The 16,112-nt window shown below is 57.1% G+C and overlaps 1 protein-coding gene across 1 annotated transcript in view, besides 5 other annotated features; it reads left to right on the top strand.

The window, feature by feature from the left end:
- The window catches only part of SPIRE2 (spire type actin nucleation factor 2), a 42,845-nt gene that overhangs the window by 20,976 nt on the left and 5,757 nt on the right, over positions 1–16,112 (top strand). The window contains exons 3-12 of the mRNA NM_032451.2: positions 854–1,210; positions 4,836–4,916; positions 5,037–5,201; positions 6,150–6,236; positions 6,663–6,786; positions 8,888–9,057; positions 9,715–9,904; positions 11,233–11,345; positions 14,026–14,160; positions 14,344–14,411. Of these exons, the coding sequence (NP_115827.1) occupies positions 854–1,210; positions 4,836–4,916; positions 5,037–5,201; positions 6,150–6,236; positions 6,663–6,786; positions 8,888–9,057; positions 9,715–9,904; positions 11,233–11,345; positions 14,026–14,160; positions 14,344–14,411 (1,490 nt within the window). The remainder of the gene's footprint in view (positions 1–853; positions 1,211–4,835; positions 4,917–5,036; positions 5,202–6,149; positions 6,237–6,662; positions 6,787–8,887; positions 9,058–9,714; positions 9,905–11,232; positions 11,346–14,025; positions 14,161–14,343; positions 14,412–16,112) is intronic.
- Positions 4,506–5,006: an enhancer, noted in NCBI's record as "H3K4me1 hESC enhancer chr16:89920364-89920864 (GRCh37/hg19 assembly coordinates)". NCBI's record gives its function as "activates a minimal SCP1, AML or CMV promoter by ChIP-STARR-seq in primed H9 embryonic stem cells {active_cell/tissue: H9 hESC(primed)}" and the evidence as "EXISTENCE:reporter gene assay evidence [ECO:0000049][PMID:30033119]".
- Positions 5,007–5,507: an enhancer, noted in NCBI's record as "H3K4me1 hESC enhancer chr16:89920865-89921365 (GRCh37/hg19 assembly coordinates)". NCBI's record gives its function as "activates a minimal SCP1, AML or CMV promoter by ChIP-STARR-seq in naive H9 embryonic stem cells {active_cell/tissue: H9 hESC(naive)}" and the evidence as "EXISTENCE:reporter gene assay evidence [ECO:0000049][PMID:30033119]".
- Positions 11,618–11,707: an enhancer, noted in NCBI's record as "active region_11423". NCBI's record gives its function as "activates an Ori minimal core promoter by ATAC-STARR-seq in GM12878 lymphoblastoid cells {active_cell/tissue: GM12878}" and the evidence as "EXISTENCE:reporter gene assay evidence [ECO:0000049][PMID:35858748]".
- Positions 14,810–14,889: an enhancer, noted in NCBI's record as "active region_11424". NCBI's record gives its function as "activates an Ori minimal core promoter by ATAC-STARR-seq in GM12878 lymphoblastoid cells {active_cell/tissue: GM12878}" and the evidence as "EXISTENCE:reporter gene assay evidence [ECO:0000049][PMID:35858748]".
- Positions 14,950–15,039: an enhancer, noted in NCBI's record as "active region_11425". NCBI's record gives its function as "activates an Ori minimal core promoter by ATAC-STARR-seq in GM12878 lymphoblastoid cells {active_cell/tissue: GM12878}" and the evidence as "EXISTENCE:reporter gene assay evidence [ECO:0000049][PMID:35858748]".

Genomic DNA, 16,112 nt, shown 5'->3' on the forward strand with positions numbered 1-16,112 from the left:
GTCGTTATATTTGTGTGTGTGGGTCTTTCTTTCCTTGTTGTAAAGCGAAACTATGAGAACCCTTTAAGACATGGAACACAGCACTGTGCAGCTGAGAGTGTCCGTGTAATTGTCCATCGACCTCCTGTGTCCGACTGTGCTGCCTCTGCCTGCCTGTCCCAGCAGACCTGGCCACCTGGGGACCACCTGGGCCTGTGGGCCTGGAAGTCGGTGCAGACGATGGTGACTAGGGTGGGCAGGTCGGCACCCCCATATCACTCCACAGAACCACTGGTGCCCTTCGTGGTAGATTATGAAAGTCAGGGTCCCTGTCAAGTAAAATCGAGAAATGCTGAGTTAAGAGGTCGCTACTGTGAAGCTTCACTAATTTTTAATGTGCTTTTAAAAAAACTTCTTTTTTTTTTTGAGACAGAGTCTTGCTTTGTCACCCAGGCTGGAGTGCAGAGGCCCGATCTCGGTTCACTGCAACCTCCACCTCCCAGGTTCAAGCGATTCTCCTGCCTCAGCCTCCCAAGTAAATGGGATTTCAGGCGTGCACCACCACGCCCAGCTAATTTTTGTATTTTTAGTAGAGACGGGGTTTCATCATGTTGGTCAGGCTGGTCTTGAACTCCTGACCTCGTGATCCGCCCGCCTCGGCCTCCCAAAGTGCTGGGATTACAGGTGTGGGCCACCGCGCCCGGCCGGGAACATCCTTTTCATCCGGTCCATGTCTTGCTTGTGCCTTGGTCTCTTGTGGACCGACAGCTGCTGTCTCCCTGGCCGGGTGCTGGGCCCTCTGCACCCACCAGCCGCGTTCTCCCCGCCCCACCCCCCTGCAGTACCGCCCAGTGACCGCGCCCCTGTCCCGCAGACCGTGCAGTCCCTCGGCTTCGCCATCTACCGCGCGCTGGACTGGGGGCTGGACGAGAGCGAGGAGCGCGAACTCAGCCCTCAGCTGGAGCGGCTCATCGACCTCATGGCCAACAACGACAGCGAGGACAGCGGCTGCGGTGCCGCCGATGAGGGCTACGGGGGTCCCGAGGAGGAGGAGGAGGCCGAGGGCGTCCCCCGCAGCGTGCGCACCTTTGCCCAGGCCATGCGGCTGTGCGCGGCGCGGCTGACCGACCCCCGGGGCGCACAGGCGCATTACCAGGCCGTGTGCCGCGCGCTCTTCGTGGAGACGCTGGAGCTGCGGGCCTTCCTGGCCAGGGTCCGGGAGGCCAAGGAGGTGAGCGGTGGGTGGGGGCGACCGTGGAGGGTCCGGGAGGCCAGGGAGGGGAGCAGTGGGTGGGAGGGGACTGGCAAGGACGTCTCTTCGTGGACAGAAAGTCAGGTCGTCGGTGCGACTGCCGCTGGCATTATGTATTCCCACTTAATCCTCACGCTTTCTTGTTGTTTTTTTGTTGTTGTTGTTGTTTTTTTAGACAGGGTCTCACTCTGTCACCCAGGCTGGAGGGGTAGTGGCTCGATCTCGGCTCACTGCAACCTCCGCCTCCCAGGTTCAAGCAATTCTCCTGCCACAGGCTCCCAGGTAGCTGGGATTACAGGTGCCCACCACCATGCCTGGTAGTAGAGACGGGGTTTCACCATGTTGGCCAAGCTGGTCTCGAACTCCTGACCTCAGGTGATCCATCTGCGTCGGCCTCCCAAAGTGCTGGGATTACAGGCATGAGCCACCACGCCTGGCCTCACACTTTCTTCTTACCAGAGAAGTTAAGTGGTGGGCTCAGCCTCTTCCCCAACTGCTCTCTCCCGTTGCCTGAGTTGTTATCCTCTCCCAGCGCGCATTATTCTCTCTTCCTCCACTTTTACATCTGCAAGAGAGCGCCCTTCCTCCTGCCTCCCCACCAGCCTCTCCAGGCCCTGGTTCCTTCTGAAATATGATGCCAAAGGTGGCCCCCTCTATACGCAGGAACCACAGGGAGGCTCAGCGACTTGCTTGGAGCTTTGGGTGGGGACGGGCCGTTCGGTGAGAAAGCCCACTTGCTGGGCCTGTGACAACCCAGCCTCATTCTCCTGCCCCTTACAGGTGGAGGGGTCACTTGACAGATGAGCAAGTGCAGGCTCTAAGGCTGGGACCCTTGCCCGAAGCCACAAAGCAAGAGTCGGGCAGTGCTAGGCTCCGACGTGGCTCCCAAGCCGGAGCTCTCCCCTGGGCCTCCTATCTCTCCGTGGACTCAGAGTTAGGAGCAACCATCCCTCTCTGACTCTCTCAGCCTCTCCCTGGGCACGGCTGCTGCCCCAAGGGAGCTGATGTGTTTCTGTGTCGTGGGGTCTCTGCACACATGGGCTCTGCCTTTTATCCCGTCAGCATCTCATGGAGGAGAACGCCAGGCCTTGGAGAGGCAGGGGATTCCCTCTTGCCTCGGTGGCAGAAGGTGTTTTCGAAGTTAACTAGTGCTGGTCTGTCATTCCTCCCTGACCCTTTATGGTGCTGTGTCTCTCCTGTCCTCTAACCGAGGAAGGTTCCTGGCCAGCTTCCCGAACCCTCTGAGCCTTTGCAGGTGGTTTTGACGCCGGGTGGCAGCCTGAGCTGCTCGGCCTCATCTGCAGCCCAAGCGTGTGCCAAGGTTGGACGGCTCTCCCCCCACCCCCCAGATCCCCTGGCCCATCTTCCATCCTCCCCCAACCCGCCAGATCCCCTGGCCCATCTTCCATCCTCCCCCCACCCACCAGATCCCATGGCCCATCTTCCATCCTCCCCCCACCCCCCAGATCCCATGGCCCATCTTCCATCCTCTCCCCACCCACCAGATCCCATGGCCCATCTTCCATCCTCCCCCCACCCCCCAGATCCCATGGCCCATCTTCCATCCTCCCCCCACCCACCAGATCCCATGGCCCATCTTCCATCCTCTCCCCACCCACCAGATCCCATGGCCCATCTTCCATCCTCCCCCCACCCCCCATATTCCATGGCCCATCTTCCATCCTCCCCCCACCCCCCAGATCCCATGGCCCATCTTCCATCCTCCCCCCACCCCCCAGATCCCATGGCCCATCTTCCATCCTCTCCCCACCCACCAGATCCCATGGCCCATCTTCCATCCTCCCCCCACCCCCCAGATCCCATGGCCCATCTTCCATCCTCCCTCCACCCCCCGGATCCCCTGGCCCATCTTCCGTCCTCTCCCCACCCCCTGGATCCCCTGGCCCATCTTCCATCCTCCCTCCACCCCCCAGATCCCCTGGCCCGTCTTCCGTCCTCCCTCTCACCCCCCGGATCCCATGGCCCGTCATCCGTCTTCTCTCTCACCCCCCGGATCCCATGATCCGTCTTCCGTCCTCCCTCTCACCCCCCGGATCCCATGGCCCGTCTTCCGTCCTCCCTCTCACCCCCCGGATCCCATGGCCCGTCTTCCGTCCTCCCTCTCACCCCCCGGATCCCATGGCCCGTCTTCCGTCCTCCCTCTCACCCCCCGCATCCCATGGCCCCTCTTCCGTCCTCCCTCTCACCCCCCGGATCCCATGGCCCGTCTTCCGTCCTCCCTCTCACCCCCCGCATCCCATGGCCCGTCTTCCATCCTCCCTCTCACCCCCCGGATCCCATGGCCCGTCTTCCATCCTCCCTCTCACCCTCAAGATCCCATGGCCCATCTTCCGTCCTCTCTCTCAGCTCCCCCTTGGCCTCCTGGGACATGCTTCTAACGTTCCCCACAATTAGCAGACGGTCCTCCTGCTGTTGTGTCTCTGATCAGGCTGTTTTCTGCTGCTCAGATCAGTTTCTTACCCAGTGAAAGCTCTTTCATTCTTAGAGACACAGTCTTACTCTGTTGCCCAGGCTGGTCTCAAACTCTTGGGCTCAAGTGATCCTCCCACTTCGGCCTCCCAGAGTGCTGGGGTTACAGCTATGAGCCACTGTTCCCGGCCAGAAAGCACTTTCTTTAGGAGGAAACGGCTCTGTATGCAGGCAGTTGACTGAGGCGAAGTTTGGGGAATTGGTAGTAGGACCAAGTGAGAGAAGGGTCTCTCCATGGGGTGTAGCTGTGTCTGTTGGCATTTTGGCCAGGAGCGGCCTGCTCAGGAACAGGTACAGGTGTTCCCGGAAGGACAGGAGTGCCACCCTCTGTGCCCTTTGCCCTGGGCTGGCATACATGAGGCCTGTGGGCAGACACACACCTCACGCTGCCCAGGGAGTGTCCCAAAGCAGTGTGGCGGGTACCTGGGGCCGAAGCCAGGGTGACCGGTTCTGCCTTGGTTGTGGGGGCTGTGCCAAAGGGTAGGTGCTTCTCTAGAGTTGGGACTTCGTGACAGCAGAGGCTGCGTGCCACCGAGATCGTGCGTGACGGAGGCAGCAGGTGCCGCGCCTTCTTCCCAAGTTCTCAGCACAGAGCGCTTCCCAAACAGGCCCTCACCACAGTGTTGGCACCTTCCCCAGTTCACAAAGTACATACCCATGTCTGTTTCCCTGGACTTGCCAGGCAGCAGCTCATCCACCCTCCCATCCACCTGTCCACCACGTATCCATTCACCCAAGCCATGCACAAAGACTGGCCTGTGCCACACTGCGCTGAGCCCCAGACGCTACTCAGAGAAGCAGCTCAGCGTAAAGGCCTGGCTGGGACCTAGAGCAGCTGCGGGGACTCGGGGGTGGCAGGGTGCATGGCCCACCTGAGGAAATGCTGTGTGGACTGAGTGGAGTCTCCACACCTGTGTCCGCCGCCTGTGGCGATGGCTCGGTTTCCCCAGATACCTTTTCGAGTCCTATGGCCTGGGCCAAAATGCCCAGCTGTCTCTTTTCCGGCTGGTCGAGTGGAGCCCCCGTGACGTGGTCGTGTCCCTGACGGACGGGGCCCGTCTTGCATCTGCCATTCTCGTACCTCCCCTGGACTGACGAGCACGTGTGGTCACAGATGCTGCAGAAGCTTCGGGAGGACGAGCCGCATCTGGAGACGCCTCGGGCAGAGCTGGACAGCCTGGGTCACACAGACTGGGTAAGGCTCACTCCCACCTGACCGGGCCACTGACGCGGCCCAGCCTGCCAAGGGTCTCTGCCTGGGGGGCCGTGGAGCTTCACCTGGGGCTGAGACCCATTCTCTTCCCCTGGGGCCCAGGCCCGACTGTGGGTTCAGCTCATGCGGGAGCTCCGCCGCGGAGTGAAGCTGAAGAAGGTGCAAGAGCAGGAGTTCAACCCCCTCCCCACCGAGTTCCAGCTCACGCCCTTCGAGATGCTGATGCAGGACATCCGGGCCCGGAACTACAAGCTGCGCAAGGTCATGGTGAGCGGGGCAGACGCAGAGGGGCAGCCTGGATGCAGAGGTCGTGGTGAGCGGGGCGGACGCAGATGAGCAGCCTGGATGTTGGGCAGCCCACCCCAGAGAGCGGCCCAGGGTCCCTGCTCTCTGTGCTGGGTACTGGGTCATAAAATATGGATTAGGGAGATGTGGTCCCAATTCCCACAGCTTGATATCACTTCAGGGACAGTGACCAGGCAGGGAAAGGAAGTGTGGAAGGTTCTGGAGGTCCAGGAATGGCCCCTGGAGGCCACAAGAGCCAAGGCTGTAGGATTTTTTTTTTCTTTTTTGAGACGGAGTCTCGCTCTGTCGCCCAGGCTGGAGGGCAATGGTGCGACCTTGGCTCACTGCAAGCTCCACCTCCTGGGTTCAAGCGATTCTCCTGCCTTAGCCTCCCAAGTAGCTGGGACTACAGGCGCCCGCCACCACGCCTGGCTAATTTTTTGTATTTTTAGTAGAGATGGGGTTTCACTGTGTTAGCCACGATGGTCTCGATCTCCTGACCTTGTGATCTGCCCACCTCGGCCTCCCAAAGTGCCAGGATTACAGATGTGAGCCACCTGCCTGGCCTGGCTGTAGGATATTTTTGCCGTAACAAAACTCATGGAGCCCTTAGGAGGCGCCGGCATGGTTCTTATGATGCCCCTGTGAGGTGTGTGCCACCCCACCCCACCTCCAGATGAGTCCCAGGTGCTAGAGGCTGGGGCAGCCAGGTGGGGACGCGTCAGACCATGGATGCTGTGGCCGCCCAGAGCATGGCCTGTGGATCTGCCGTGCGTTTACCAGGGAAGCAGCTGGGTCCCTGCGAGCAAAGAGTGGGAGGGCGGGTAGGTGCGAAGACCAGGCTGTCCTTGGGCTGAGCAGGCCTCTCCCAGTCGCCCTGCACTAGTGGATGGTCCCTGCAGGGCCTCAGATCAGCCGTCCTCCCCGCAGGTGGATGGGGACATCCCGCCCCGGGTGAAGAAGGACGCTCACGAGCTCATCCTGGACTTTATCCGCTCACGGCCTCCACTGAAGCAGGTGCTGCCCCAGCCTCCTCCTCCTCAGGGGCCGCCCGGGGCCTGGTGCTGTCCTGTAGCCAGCCTGGGAGGTGTCCCAGCACGTCTTCCTGTGGCCAGCCTGGGAGGTGTCCCAGTGCGTCTGCGTCACGGGTGAGGCGGGCTGGCTTCCTCTTGCCTGTGTGCCAGCCCGGGGCTGTGTGGCCCTGGGCCCTTTTTCTGGGAAGGGGCCATGTGAGCCATGCCCACCCCACCCCAGGTGCATGCGGAGCCCAGAGCCCCCTGGGAGCAGCACTCCCTCCGGGTGGGCCTGGCAGGCTCTTCCGACTCCAGAGTGGGCCCGTGTCATGGTCACTTCCCCACCACAGGTCCCGCTTCCCCACCGCAGGTCCCGCTTCCCCACCGCAGGTCCTGCTTCCCCACCGCAGGTCTCGCTTCCCCACCGCAGGTCTCTGAGAGGCGGCTGCGCCCGTTGCCACCAAAGCAAAGGTCCCTGCATGAGAAGATCCTGGAGGAGATCAAGCAGGAGCGGAGGCTGCGCCCGGTGCGGGGCGAGGGCTGGGCTGCCCGCGGTGAGTGAGGGGATGGCAGGAGAAGAGAGCCCTGAGCCCCCGGCTGGGGTTCCCCCATTCCCCTGGTCAGGTTGCACATTGGAAGGTGGCGTCTCCCTGAGGGCGCCTGAACCCATGGAAGACACAGAACATCTTAATTTTTGAGGCACACAGGCTTTTGAAACTCAGATTACTTGGGGATAAAAAATTTAAATTAAATTAAAATTATATATATATATATTTGTTTGAGATGGAGTCTTGCTCTGTCGCCCAGGATGGAGTGCAGTGGAGCGACCTCGGCTCACTGCAACCTCCGCCCCCCGGGTTCAAGTGATGCTCATGCCTCAGCTTCCTGGGCAGCTGGGATTACAGGCACGTGCCACCACGCCTGGCTAATTTTTTTTTTTTTTTTTTTTGTAGTTTTAGTAGAGACGGGGTTTCACCATATTGGCCAGACTGGACACAAACTCCTGGGCTCAAGTGATCTGCCTGCCTTGGCCTCCCAAAATGCTGGCATTACAGGTGTGAACCACTGCACCTGGCCAAAAATAAAAAATGATGAGGCTGGGCTCAGTAGCTCATGCCTTGTAATCCCAGCATTTTGGGATGCTGAGGCGGGAGGATCACTTGAGCCCAGGAGATCGAGACCAGCCTGGGCAATATAGTGAGACCTCATCTCTGCCAAAAATTTCAAAGAAAAATTAGCCAGGTGTGGTGGCACATGGCTGTAATCCCAGGTGCTCCAGGGGCTGAGGTGGGAGGATTGCTTGAACCTGAGAAGTTGATGCCGAAGTGACCCATGATTGCACCACTGCCCTCTAGACTGGGTGACAGAGTGAGACCTCGTTTCAAAAAAAAAAAAAAATCACTTTTTATGCCTCTCATTAAAAACTTTACAAGGCCATTGGAATTTCCTATATCTTTTTTTTTTTTTTTTTTGAGATAGGGTATCACTCTGTCACCCCGGCTGTAGTGCAGTGGCACCATTATAGTTCACTGCAGCCTCAACCTCTCAGGCTCAAGCAATCCTCCCACCTCAGCCTCTCGAGTAGTGTGATGACAGGCATGCACCACCACGCCCGGCTAATTTTTGTGTTTTTTGTAGAGACAGGGTCTCACTCTGTTGCCCAGGCTGGTGTTGAACTCGTGGGCTCAAGTGATCCTTCTGCCTCAGCTTCCCGAAGTGCTGGGATTATGGGTGTGAGCCACCATTCCCTGCCTAACATGATCTTATACCCTATTGTCCTGGTCTTCACCTGTATTTGCCACTCTACATAGTTTACAATAGTATGACATATTTCAGCATTTAGAAGAAAATAGAATAAAAGCAAATTTTTAAAATGTTTTTCTTTTCTTTTCCTTTTTTTTTTTTGAGATGGAGTTTCGCCCTTTTTGCCCAGGCTGGAGTGCAGTGGCGCTATCTCAGCTCACTGCAACCTCCACCTCCTGGGTTCAAGCGATTCTCCTGCCTCAGCCTCCCGGGTAGCTGGGATTACAGGCACGCGCCACCACACCCAGCTAATTTTGTATTTTTAGTAGAGACGGGGTTTCTCCATGTTGGTCAGGCTGGTCTCAAACTCTTGACCTCAGGTGATCCACCCGCATCAGCCTCCCAAAGTGCAGGGATTACAGGCGTGAGCCACCGCACCCAGCCTAGTTCTTCTTCTTTTTTTTTTTTTTTTTTTGAGACAGAGTCTCGCTCTGTTGTCCAGGCTGGAGTGCAGTGGCGTGATCTCGGCTCACTGCAAGCTCTACCTCCTGGGTTCACGCCATTCTCCTGCCTTAGCTTCCCGAGTAGCTGGGACTACAGGCGCGTGCCACCACGCCTGGCTAATTTTTTTTGTATTTTTTAGTAGAGACAGGGTTTCACCATGTTAGCCAGGATGGTCTCGATCTCCTGACCTCGTGATCCACCCGCCTTGGCCTCCCAAAGTGCTGGGATTACAGGCGTGAGCCACCGCGCCCGGCCTAGTTCCTCATTTTTTTAAATGGCTGGCTAGCCCTCAGTTTCCCCTTCTGCAAAGTCAGGGAATTAAGCCAGCTGGTGCACACAAAGCTGTCAGCTCCTGCCTGCTGTCTCCCCGTTCACTGGCCCGTCCTGCCTCGGCTCCCGTCTCCCCAGGGTTTGGCTCTCTGCCCTGCATCCTCAACGCCTGCTCCGGAGATGCCAAGTCCACCTCCTGCATCAACCTGTCAGTCACAGATGCTGGGGGCAGCGCCCAGCGCCCGCGGCCCCGCGTGCTGCTCAAGGCGCCTACCTTGGCTGAAATGGAAGAGATGAATACATCTGAGGTCAGAACCCATGGGGATTCCTGAAAAGAGACCAGGAATGGGAGGATGGGGGCCAAGGAAGTGAGAAGGGCTAAGCTAAGCCGGGGGCAGCAGCAATTGCGGTGTCTCCTGTCCAGGAGCCCTCCCTTGAAACTGACATCCTGCCGTAGGAGGAGGCCTGTGGGGATCGGGGACCCTGCCATCTTGGCCGCTCAGAAGGGTGACTGGGAGAGGGCCTGGGCTGCCTCCTCCCACAGACGATGGAAGGCTGACAGCGGAAGTGCCTCGCTGTCCCAGGCCCCGGAAACTGAGCCCCTGGCTAGTTGATGTGAAAAGGTGGACCCAGCGAGGCTCCCTGCCCACCCTGGCTGCCCTGTGAATGGGACGCTCCTCTCTTCACAGGAAGGGCTGGTGATGGCCTTGTTGGGGGCCATCCCAGAGGGCTCTGCCTCCGTCTGACACTAGACCTGTCCCTTTCCGGAAGGCCTGGGGAAGGGCTTGGTTACTCGGGTGCTTGCCACGAACTGTCCAGAGGCGGGCAGGCTGGGAAGTGGGTGGAGGCTGCCCCACATCGCAGCAGACCCTGCGGCACCCCTGGGTCCTCTGCTTCATTCCAGGCATGGGCAGGAGGCACTGGCGGGCATTGTCAGGGCAGGGCCGCGTCTGGTGTGTCCACAGGAAGAAGAGTCTCCGTGTGGGGAGGTGACGCTGAAACGGGACCGCTCCTTCTCAGAGCATGACCTGGCCCAGCTCCGAAGTGAGGTGGCCTCTGGCCTGCAGTCGGCCACCCACCCCCCAGGAGGGACGGAGCCACCACGGCCCCGAGCTGGCAGTGCGCATGTGTGGAGGCCCGGCTCCCGAGACCAGGGCAAGTGCTGCTTCTCACCCCCGTACCCTCCTTCGCCCCCACCCCGATCCATCCTGTGGGCACCATCCCTCCACCTCAGCCCACATCTTCCTGAGCAGGCAGCTCCCAGGGACCCAGGGAGCTCGTGCCTGCAAGACGGCACCACCTCAGGCAGGCATCTCCTTTTGTTTAACTTGAAAACTTACTAAGTAATGCATATTTATTATAAAAATATTTTTTAATATTTAAAAAGAATTCTCATGATTCTATTACCTAGACATAATTAACTTTGGGATATAGAAAGATAGCTAACTAGATGAGTGATAGACCCTTCTAGTCCTCTGGGAAGGGAGCCGTGTGTCCGTGGGGAGCCGGCTGGGCTCGCAGCACATGGCTCTGGAACCTGAGCCGTGATTCCTTCGACTCCTTTTCGCGCTGCTGAGCACAGAACGATTCTTGCTGGCTGTGCAGGGCTGGTCCTACCACCGTGAGGGCTGAACTTTACGGAGAGCCCTCGCGACTCAGGGTTCTTGTCTCCCCACCACCACATCCCAGCAGGCACGGCCAGGCCTCCTTGTCTGCCTGTGGGGCCAGAGTCTCGGGACAATCGTGTTTGGTGCTTACAGCCCCTTCCCAGTGTTAAGAGGTCCAGGCCAGGCCAGTTCCAAACCTCACACTTACTTAACCTCGGCCTCCCCCACCTGGAGCTGTGCCTCAGCCTCTGGGAGTTGGTGGAGGGAGGGAGGTCGACCCCAGCTCCAGTGTGAGGTGTGGACTGCAGGAGGAGGGTCTGGCTCACTGCTGCTGTGGGACTGCCCATGCCAGCTCATTCTGGGGCTCAGACACGGGGGCCCTTCCGGGGTCCTGTGGACCCTCTATACCACATGGGCCCCGATGAATGTCCTAATGTTGGAGCCACCCTCTTCGCTTTTTTCTTCTTTTTGAGACAAGGTCTTGCTCTGCTGCCCAGGCTGGAGTGCAGAGGTACCATTATAGCTCACTGCAGCCTTGGCCTCCTGGGCTCAAGCAATCCTCCCGCCTCAGCCTCCTGAGTAGCTAGGACTACCGACATGTTTCACGATGCCTGCCTAACTTTTATATTTTTCTATAGAGCTGAGGGTCTCGCTACGTTGCCCAGGGTGGTCTCAAGCTCCTAGGCTCAAGGTTCCACCCGCCTCGGCCTCCTAAGTGCTAGAACTGCCCGTGTAGCTACTGCCCGGCCGCTTCTCCCCTTGACCTTTTGCTTGGTTCCCCTGGAGCCCTCCACCATCTCTATCATCCCCTGGGCACAGTCCTCTTTACCACAGCTCCTGCCAGGCAGTCCTGATGGAGCCTCTGCTCTCCCCCAGGTACCTGTCCCGCGAGTGTCTCTGACCCCAGCCACCCCCTACTCAGCAACCGGGGCTCCTCGGGGGACAGACCCGAGGCCTCCATGACCCCCGATGCCAAACACCTGTGGCTGGTGAGTGAGGGTGCGATTGTCGTCCAGGGCGGCCCAGGGGGCGTCTTTGCACCCACCTTCCCGCCGCCAGCCAGGTCTGGGAGATGGGTCTGAGCACCTGTCTGGGGGGTGTGGCCTGAGCGTCCGTCTGGGGGGGCGCGGTCTGAACATGGGGCACCAGTGGTGGAGCTGCTGGTCTGGGGCCGTGGTCTCTGCTGCCGCCTGCTGGGGCCGAACCGCACTGCACTGCGGCCCCGGAGCCTGGTCCCTAATTGAAGGGTTCAGTGTGGGGTTAGGGCAGACGGTGAACCTGCGTGCCCTGTGCCTGGAGGTCAGTGTGAGGGGGGTTCACTGGGTCGAGACCTTGACTCTGGCCGTGACGCCGCCACGGTACTGCTCAGCCCCTCTGCCCTCGGTTTCTTATCTGACCTGTAATTGTGAAGAGCTCACCTTTGCTGACATCTTGAGGCCCACGTGGACCTGAGTTCTGGTGCAGGATTTAATCAACTGAGGTAAGGGGAGTGTGCGGCCCGTGGGCCACGGTGGCAGCATGCAGGTGTTGGAGGGATGTGAACGGTGTGGTTGCTGTCACTATTTGAGGTTTTATCCAGCGGCTCAGATGAGAACAGATGTTAAAATGCTTTGAGAACTATGAGCCTTATATAAATGCAAGGCACTGTGCGTATCCCCACCGAAACGCAGGGCCTGCCCTGTTAGCCTAGGTCGTATCCCACCGAAGGCAGGGCTTGCCCCGTTAGCCTAGGATTAGCTATATATCACTGCATCAAAAGTTACCTCAAAATGCAGCATCTTAAAATAACAAATATATATTATCTCACAGTTTCTGAGGGTTGGGACTCCGGCAGTGTCTTAGCTGTGTGGCCATGGCTCAGGGTCTTTCGTGAGGCTGCAGTTAGGATGGCAGTGGGGCCTGATCTCGACTGAAGGGTCAAATCGGGGCTGGAGGAGCCGTCTGAAGTGGCGTCTTCACCCAGCTGTGAGCAGGAGGCGTGAGTCCCTTGCTGTGTAGGCCTCTCTCGGGCTGCTTGGGGATCCCCACAGCGTGGTGGCTGGCGTCCCCCAGAGCACGTGGTTCAAGAGTGAGCGCAGTGAAAGCCACTGAGTATTTATGACCAAGTCCAGCAGTGCCACATTGTCCCAACTCACTAGGAATGAGTCACTAAGTCCAGCCTATTCTCAAGGGGAGGGAGAGAATTAAGGCCCACTTCTTTTTTTTTTTTTTTTTGAGACAAGAGTCTGGCTCTGTCGCCCAGGCTGGAGTGCAGTGGCGCCATCTCGGCTCACTGCAAGCTCCGCCTCCCGGGTTCATGCCATTCTCCTGCCTCAGCCTCCCGAGTAGCTGGGACTACAGGCGCCCACCACCGCACCCGGCTAATTTTTTGTATTTTTAGTAGAGACGGGGTTTCATCGTGTTAGCCAGGATGGTTTCGATCTCCTGACCTCATCATCCGCCCTCTTCGGCCTCCCAAAGTGCTGGGACCTGACCTCGTCATCCGCCCTCTTCGGCCTCCCAAAGTGCTGGGATCACAGGCGTGAGCCACCGCACCCGGCCAAGGCCCACTTCTTAAGGAATTAGAGGACACATTTAAGATGACCACAGGTCACATGAGTGGTTCTTTAGCTCTGAAGTCTCAGAAGTGCTTTCTGAAGGGGGGCTACTGAGCACCACAGAACCTGGCCTTCCATCTGCCCTGGGCTCACAGCCTCACCTGGGGAGCAGGCGGCCCTTCTCTGTACCTGGCGTGAGGTCTCCTGGCCACGGACGTTGTTGGCGTCACACCTGTGGCACCTGAGGTGAATTGTTCAGATGGAAACGGCACCATCAGGCAACTGGCAACAGAAGCCTAAAGCCCTGGGTGCCTCAGGTCAGAGGAAGGAAGGAATGCAAGGGCCCCGCTCCCCCCAATGCCAGGAGCGTGTGTTCACAGCTTTAGACAGGACAACCCACTGCAAATCCAAAGCAGAAAACATGGTCCAACTCCATCTCTGTGGCACCTTCATAGATGGTGCCCACCTGCCTTGGCAGTGATGACCGACACTGCGAACGCTGTGCTGGCAGTGTGTTTAAGGGCTTTAACTGAATCATCTCGATGGAGCTGAAATCCAGCCCCATTTTACAGAAGAGAAAACTGAGGCTTAGAGAGATCAGGTGTCAAGTTCTATGCCAAGCACAGGGAAGCAAAAACAGGACACACTCAACATAAGGTGGCCCCAGGAATCAGTGGCCAGGACACGGGAGGTGTGCTGAGCGCAGATGGGCAGATGCAAGCTGAGGTGGCCTGTTGGAGGGTCCTGGACCTTCCAGAAAAGAGGACATCAGCTGCTCAGGGAGGGAAGGTTTGAGATGGATTCTGGCTGGTGTGGATCAGCCCATGGTGTGTTTGCAGGCAGGGACACCTTGAACAGACATGGGCTGAGGGGAGTTTGTGTGGAGCGTGGCCAGTGAAGGCTGGGCTGGCCGGCAGGGTCCGCTGGTCATGGGAGGCCTGGCCTGCAGCAGCAGGGCCCATCAAAGACATGGGGATGGATGGCTGATGGACAAGATGGCTGATGGACAGCGTTTTAGAAGGTCGCAGGCTTGTTTAGGCTGAGGCCAGGGAGGGTTAGGGTCCTCAGGGAAGGAGAGTAAGCTAGGGGAGCCTCCTGCATAGAAGACTTCCTACCTGAGGCCGTCCCCTAGGAGTTCAGCCACCCCGTGGAGAGCCTGGCGCTGACTGTGGAAGAGGTGATGGACGTGCGCCGTGTGCTGGTGAAGGCCGAGATGGAAAAGTTTTTGCAGAACAAGGAGCTCTTCAGCAGTCTGAAGAAGGGGAAGGTGAGGCTGCCTAGACGTGGGGCTACGCTCTTGCCCGCTGGGTCAGGGGCGGGTGCCGAGAGGGCCAGTTCCCAGGACTGTTTGCTCATGATCTGGTTGGGAGCCCTGAGGGGGTAGCAGGGACAGGGCGGGACCCCAGGGAGCTTTGGACAAAGCGGGGCTCTAACCAGTCTCTCCTGACAGATTTGCTGCTGCTGCCGGGCCAAGTTCCCGCTGTTCTCGTGGCCGCCCAGCTGTCTCTTCTGCAAGAGGTGAGCCTTCCCTTTAGCTGTCAGTTCACAAGGGAAGGAGGAGGCGAGAAACCTCGGGGCAGTACCGCCCACAGAACTTCCTGTGATTCCAGGAATGTTCTAGCATGTTCGATGGCTGATGAGTCCACAAGATATGGTTAGTACGAATGAGGAGTTAAATTTTAAATTGTATTTAAATTAAATTAAATTTAAATAGCTAAGCAACTCCCAGTTTCAGCCAAGATGGGGTAATAGGCATCTTCCACAGCCAAGAACAAACAGGATGTGAAACAATGGTTTTCAAGACAGCAGGCAACAAAAAGGAAACACAACGGGGCAAGCCTGCCATCACCACAGTCATTGCCTGGAGAGTTTCTAGGTCATGAGCCACAGCTGCCGGACTCCCCAGATGGAGGAGGTCAGGCTGAGAATCCAGGGAGACCACAGCAGCTCGAGTCCGCCGTGTAGAACTCCAGAGGAGAGGGCTGCGCCGAGAAAGCCTCAGAGAAGGTCCCCCTCTCTGAAGGAAATGACTGAAGGCTGCAGAACATTTATCCTAAAGCAGAGATTGGCAGACTATAGCCACGGGCCAAATCTGGTCCTCGGCCTGTTTTGCAAGTAAAATCTCACTGGACACAGCCACACCCATTTATTACTCGCTCAGCCACGCCTAAAAGGTTTATTCTCTGGCCCTTTACACAAAAAATTTACCTTCCCTTGTTCTAAAGATCTGAAGGGACGGTGCTCAGGGGCAGGAATGAGTAACATCGGTTTCCACCGGCCACAGGCAGAAATGTCATAATTCACAGGGCACTAACTGGAATGCACACAAAGGACTCGCCTCACTAACGTGGAGTAAGTAGCCCAAAGTGATTGTTGCTCTAGGCCTGACTGATACATCATAAAAGCAAGACCTGAAAGGATCAAACTGTTCACAAGTATCTTAACTGATTCTGAGAACAAAGCTCAAGAATAAGAATTTTTTAAACATCAACAAAAAAACAAACCAGTACTCAGCAAGATAAAATGTGTGGCATGCAAAAAACAAGACAAAATTAATTACAATGTATTGTGGGTTTTGTAACACGTGTGTAAGTAGTGTTGATAACAGCAGTTAGCATGAAGGTCAGGGAGAGGGGAAAATTGGAAGTATACTTTTTTTCCTTTTTTTTTTTTTTTTTTTTGAGAAGGAGTCTCGCTCTGGCGCCCAGGCTGGAGTGCAGTGGCACGATCTTGGCTCACTGTAAGCTCCGCCTCCTGAGTTCCCACCATTCTCCTGCCTCAGCTTCCCGAGTAGCTGGGTCTACAGGCACCTGCTACCACTCCCAGCTAATTTTTTGTATTTTTAGTAGAGATGGGGTTTCACCATGTTAGCCAGGATGGTCTCGATCCCCTGACCTCAGGATCTGCCCACCTCTGCCTCCCAAAGTGTTGGGATTACAGGCGTAAGCCACCGCGCCTGGCCAGAAGTATACTATTTTAAGGTTCACTATGGTAAGGTGAATCACTATGATAAGGTATAGTAAGGTATTATACACGCTATACAAATATTACTTAAAGGTAGACTGTGATAAGTTAAAGATGTATACCATAAGTCCTAAAGCAACCACTAAAATAAAACAGTTACAGCTAATAAGCCAACAAAGGAGATAAGATGGGACCATAAACAGTAATTAATCCAAAAAAAGGTAGGAAAAGAAGGAGAACAAACAAATGAGTCAA

This window comes from Homo sapiens, chromosome 16 (assembly GCF_000001405.40).
Source record: "Homo sapiens chromosome 16, GRCh38.p14 Primary Assembly".
Lineage (NCBI taxonomy): Eukaryota > Metazoa > Chordata > Mammalia > Primates > Hominidae > Homo > Homo sapiens.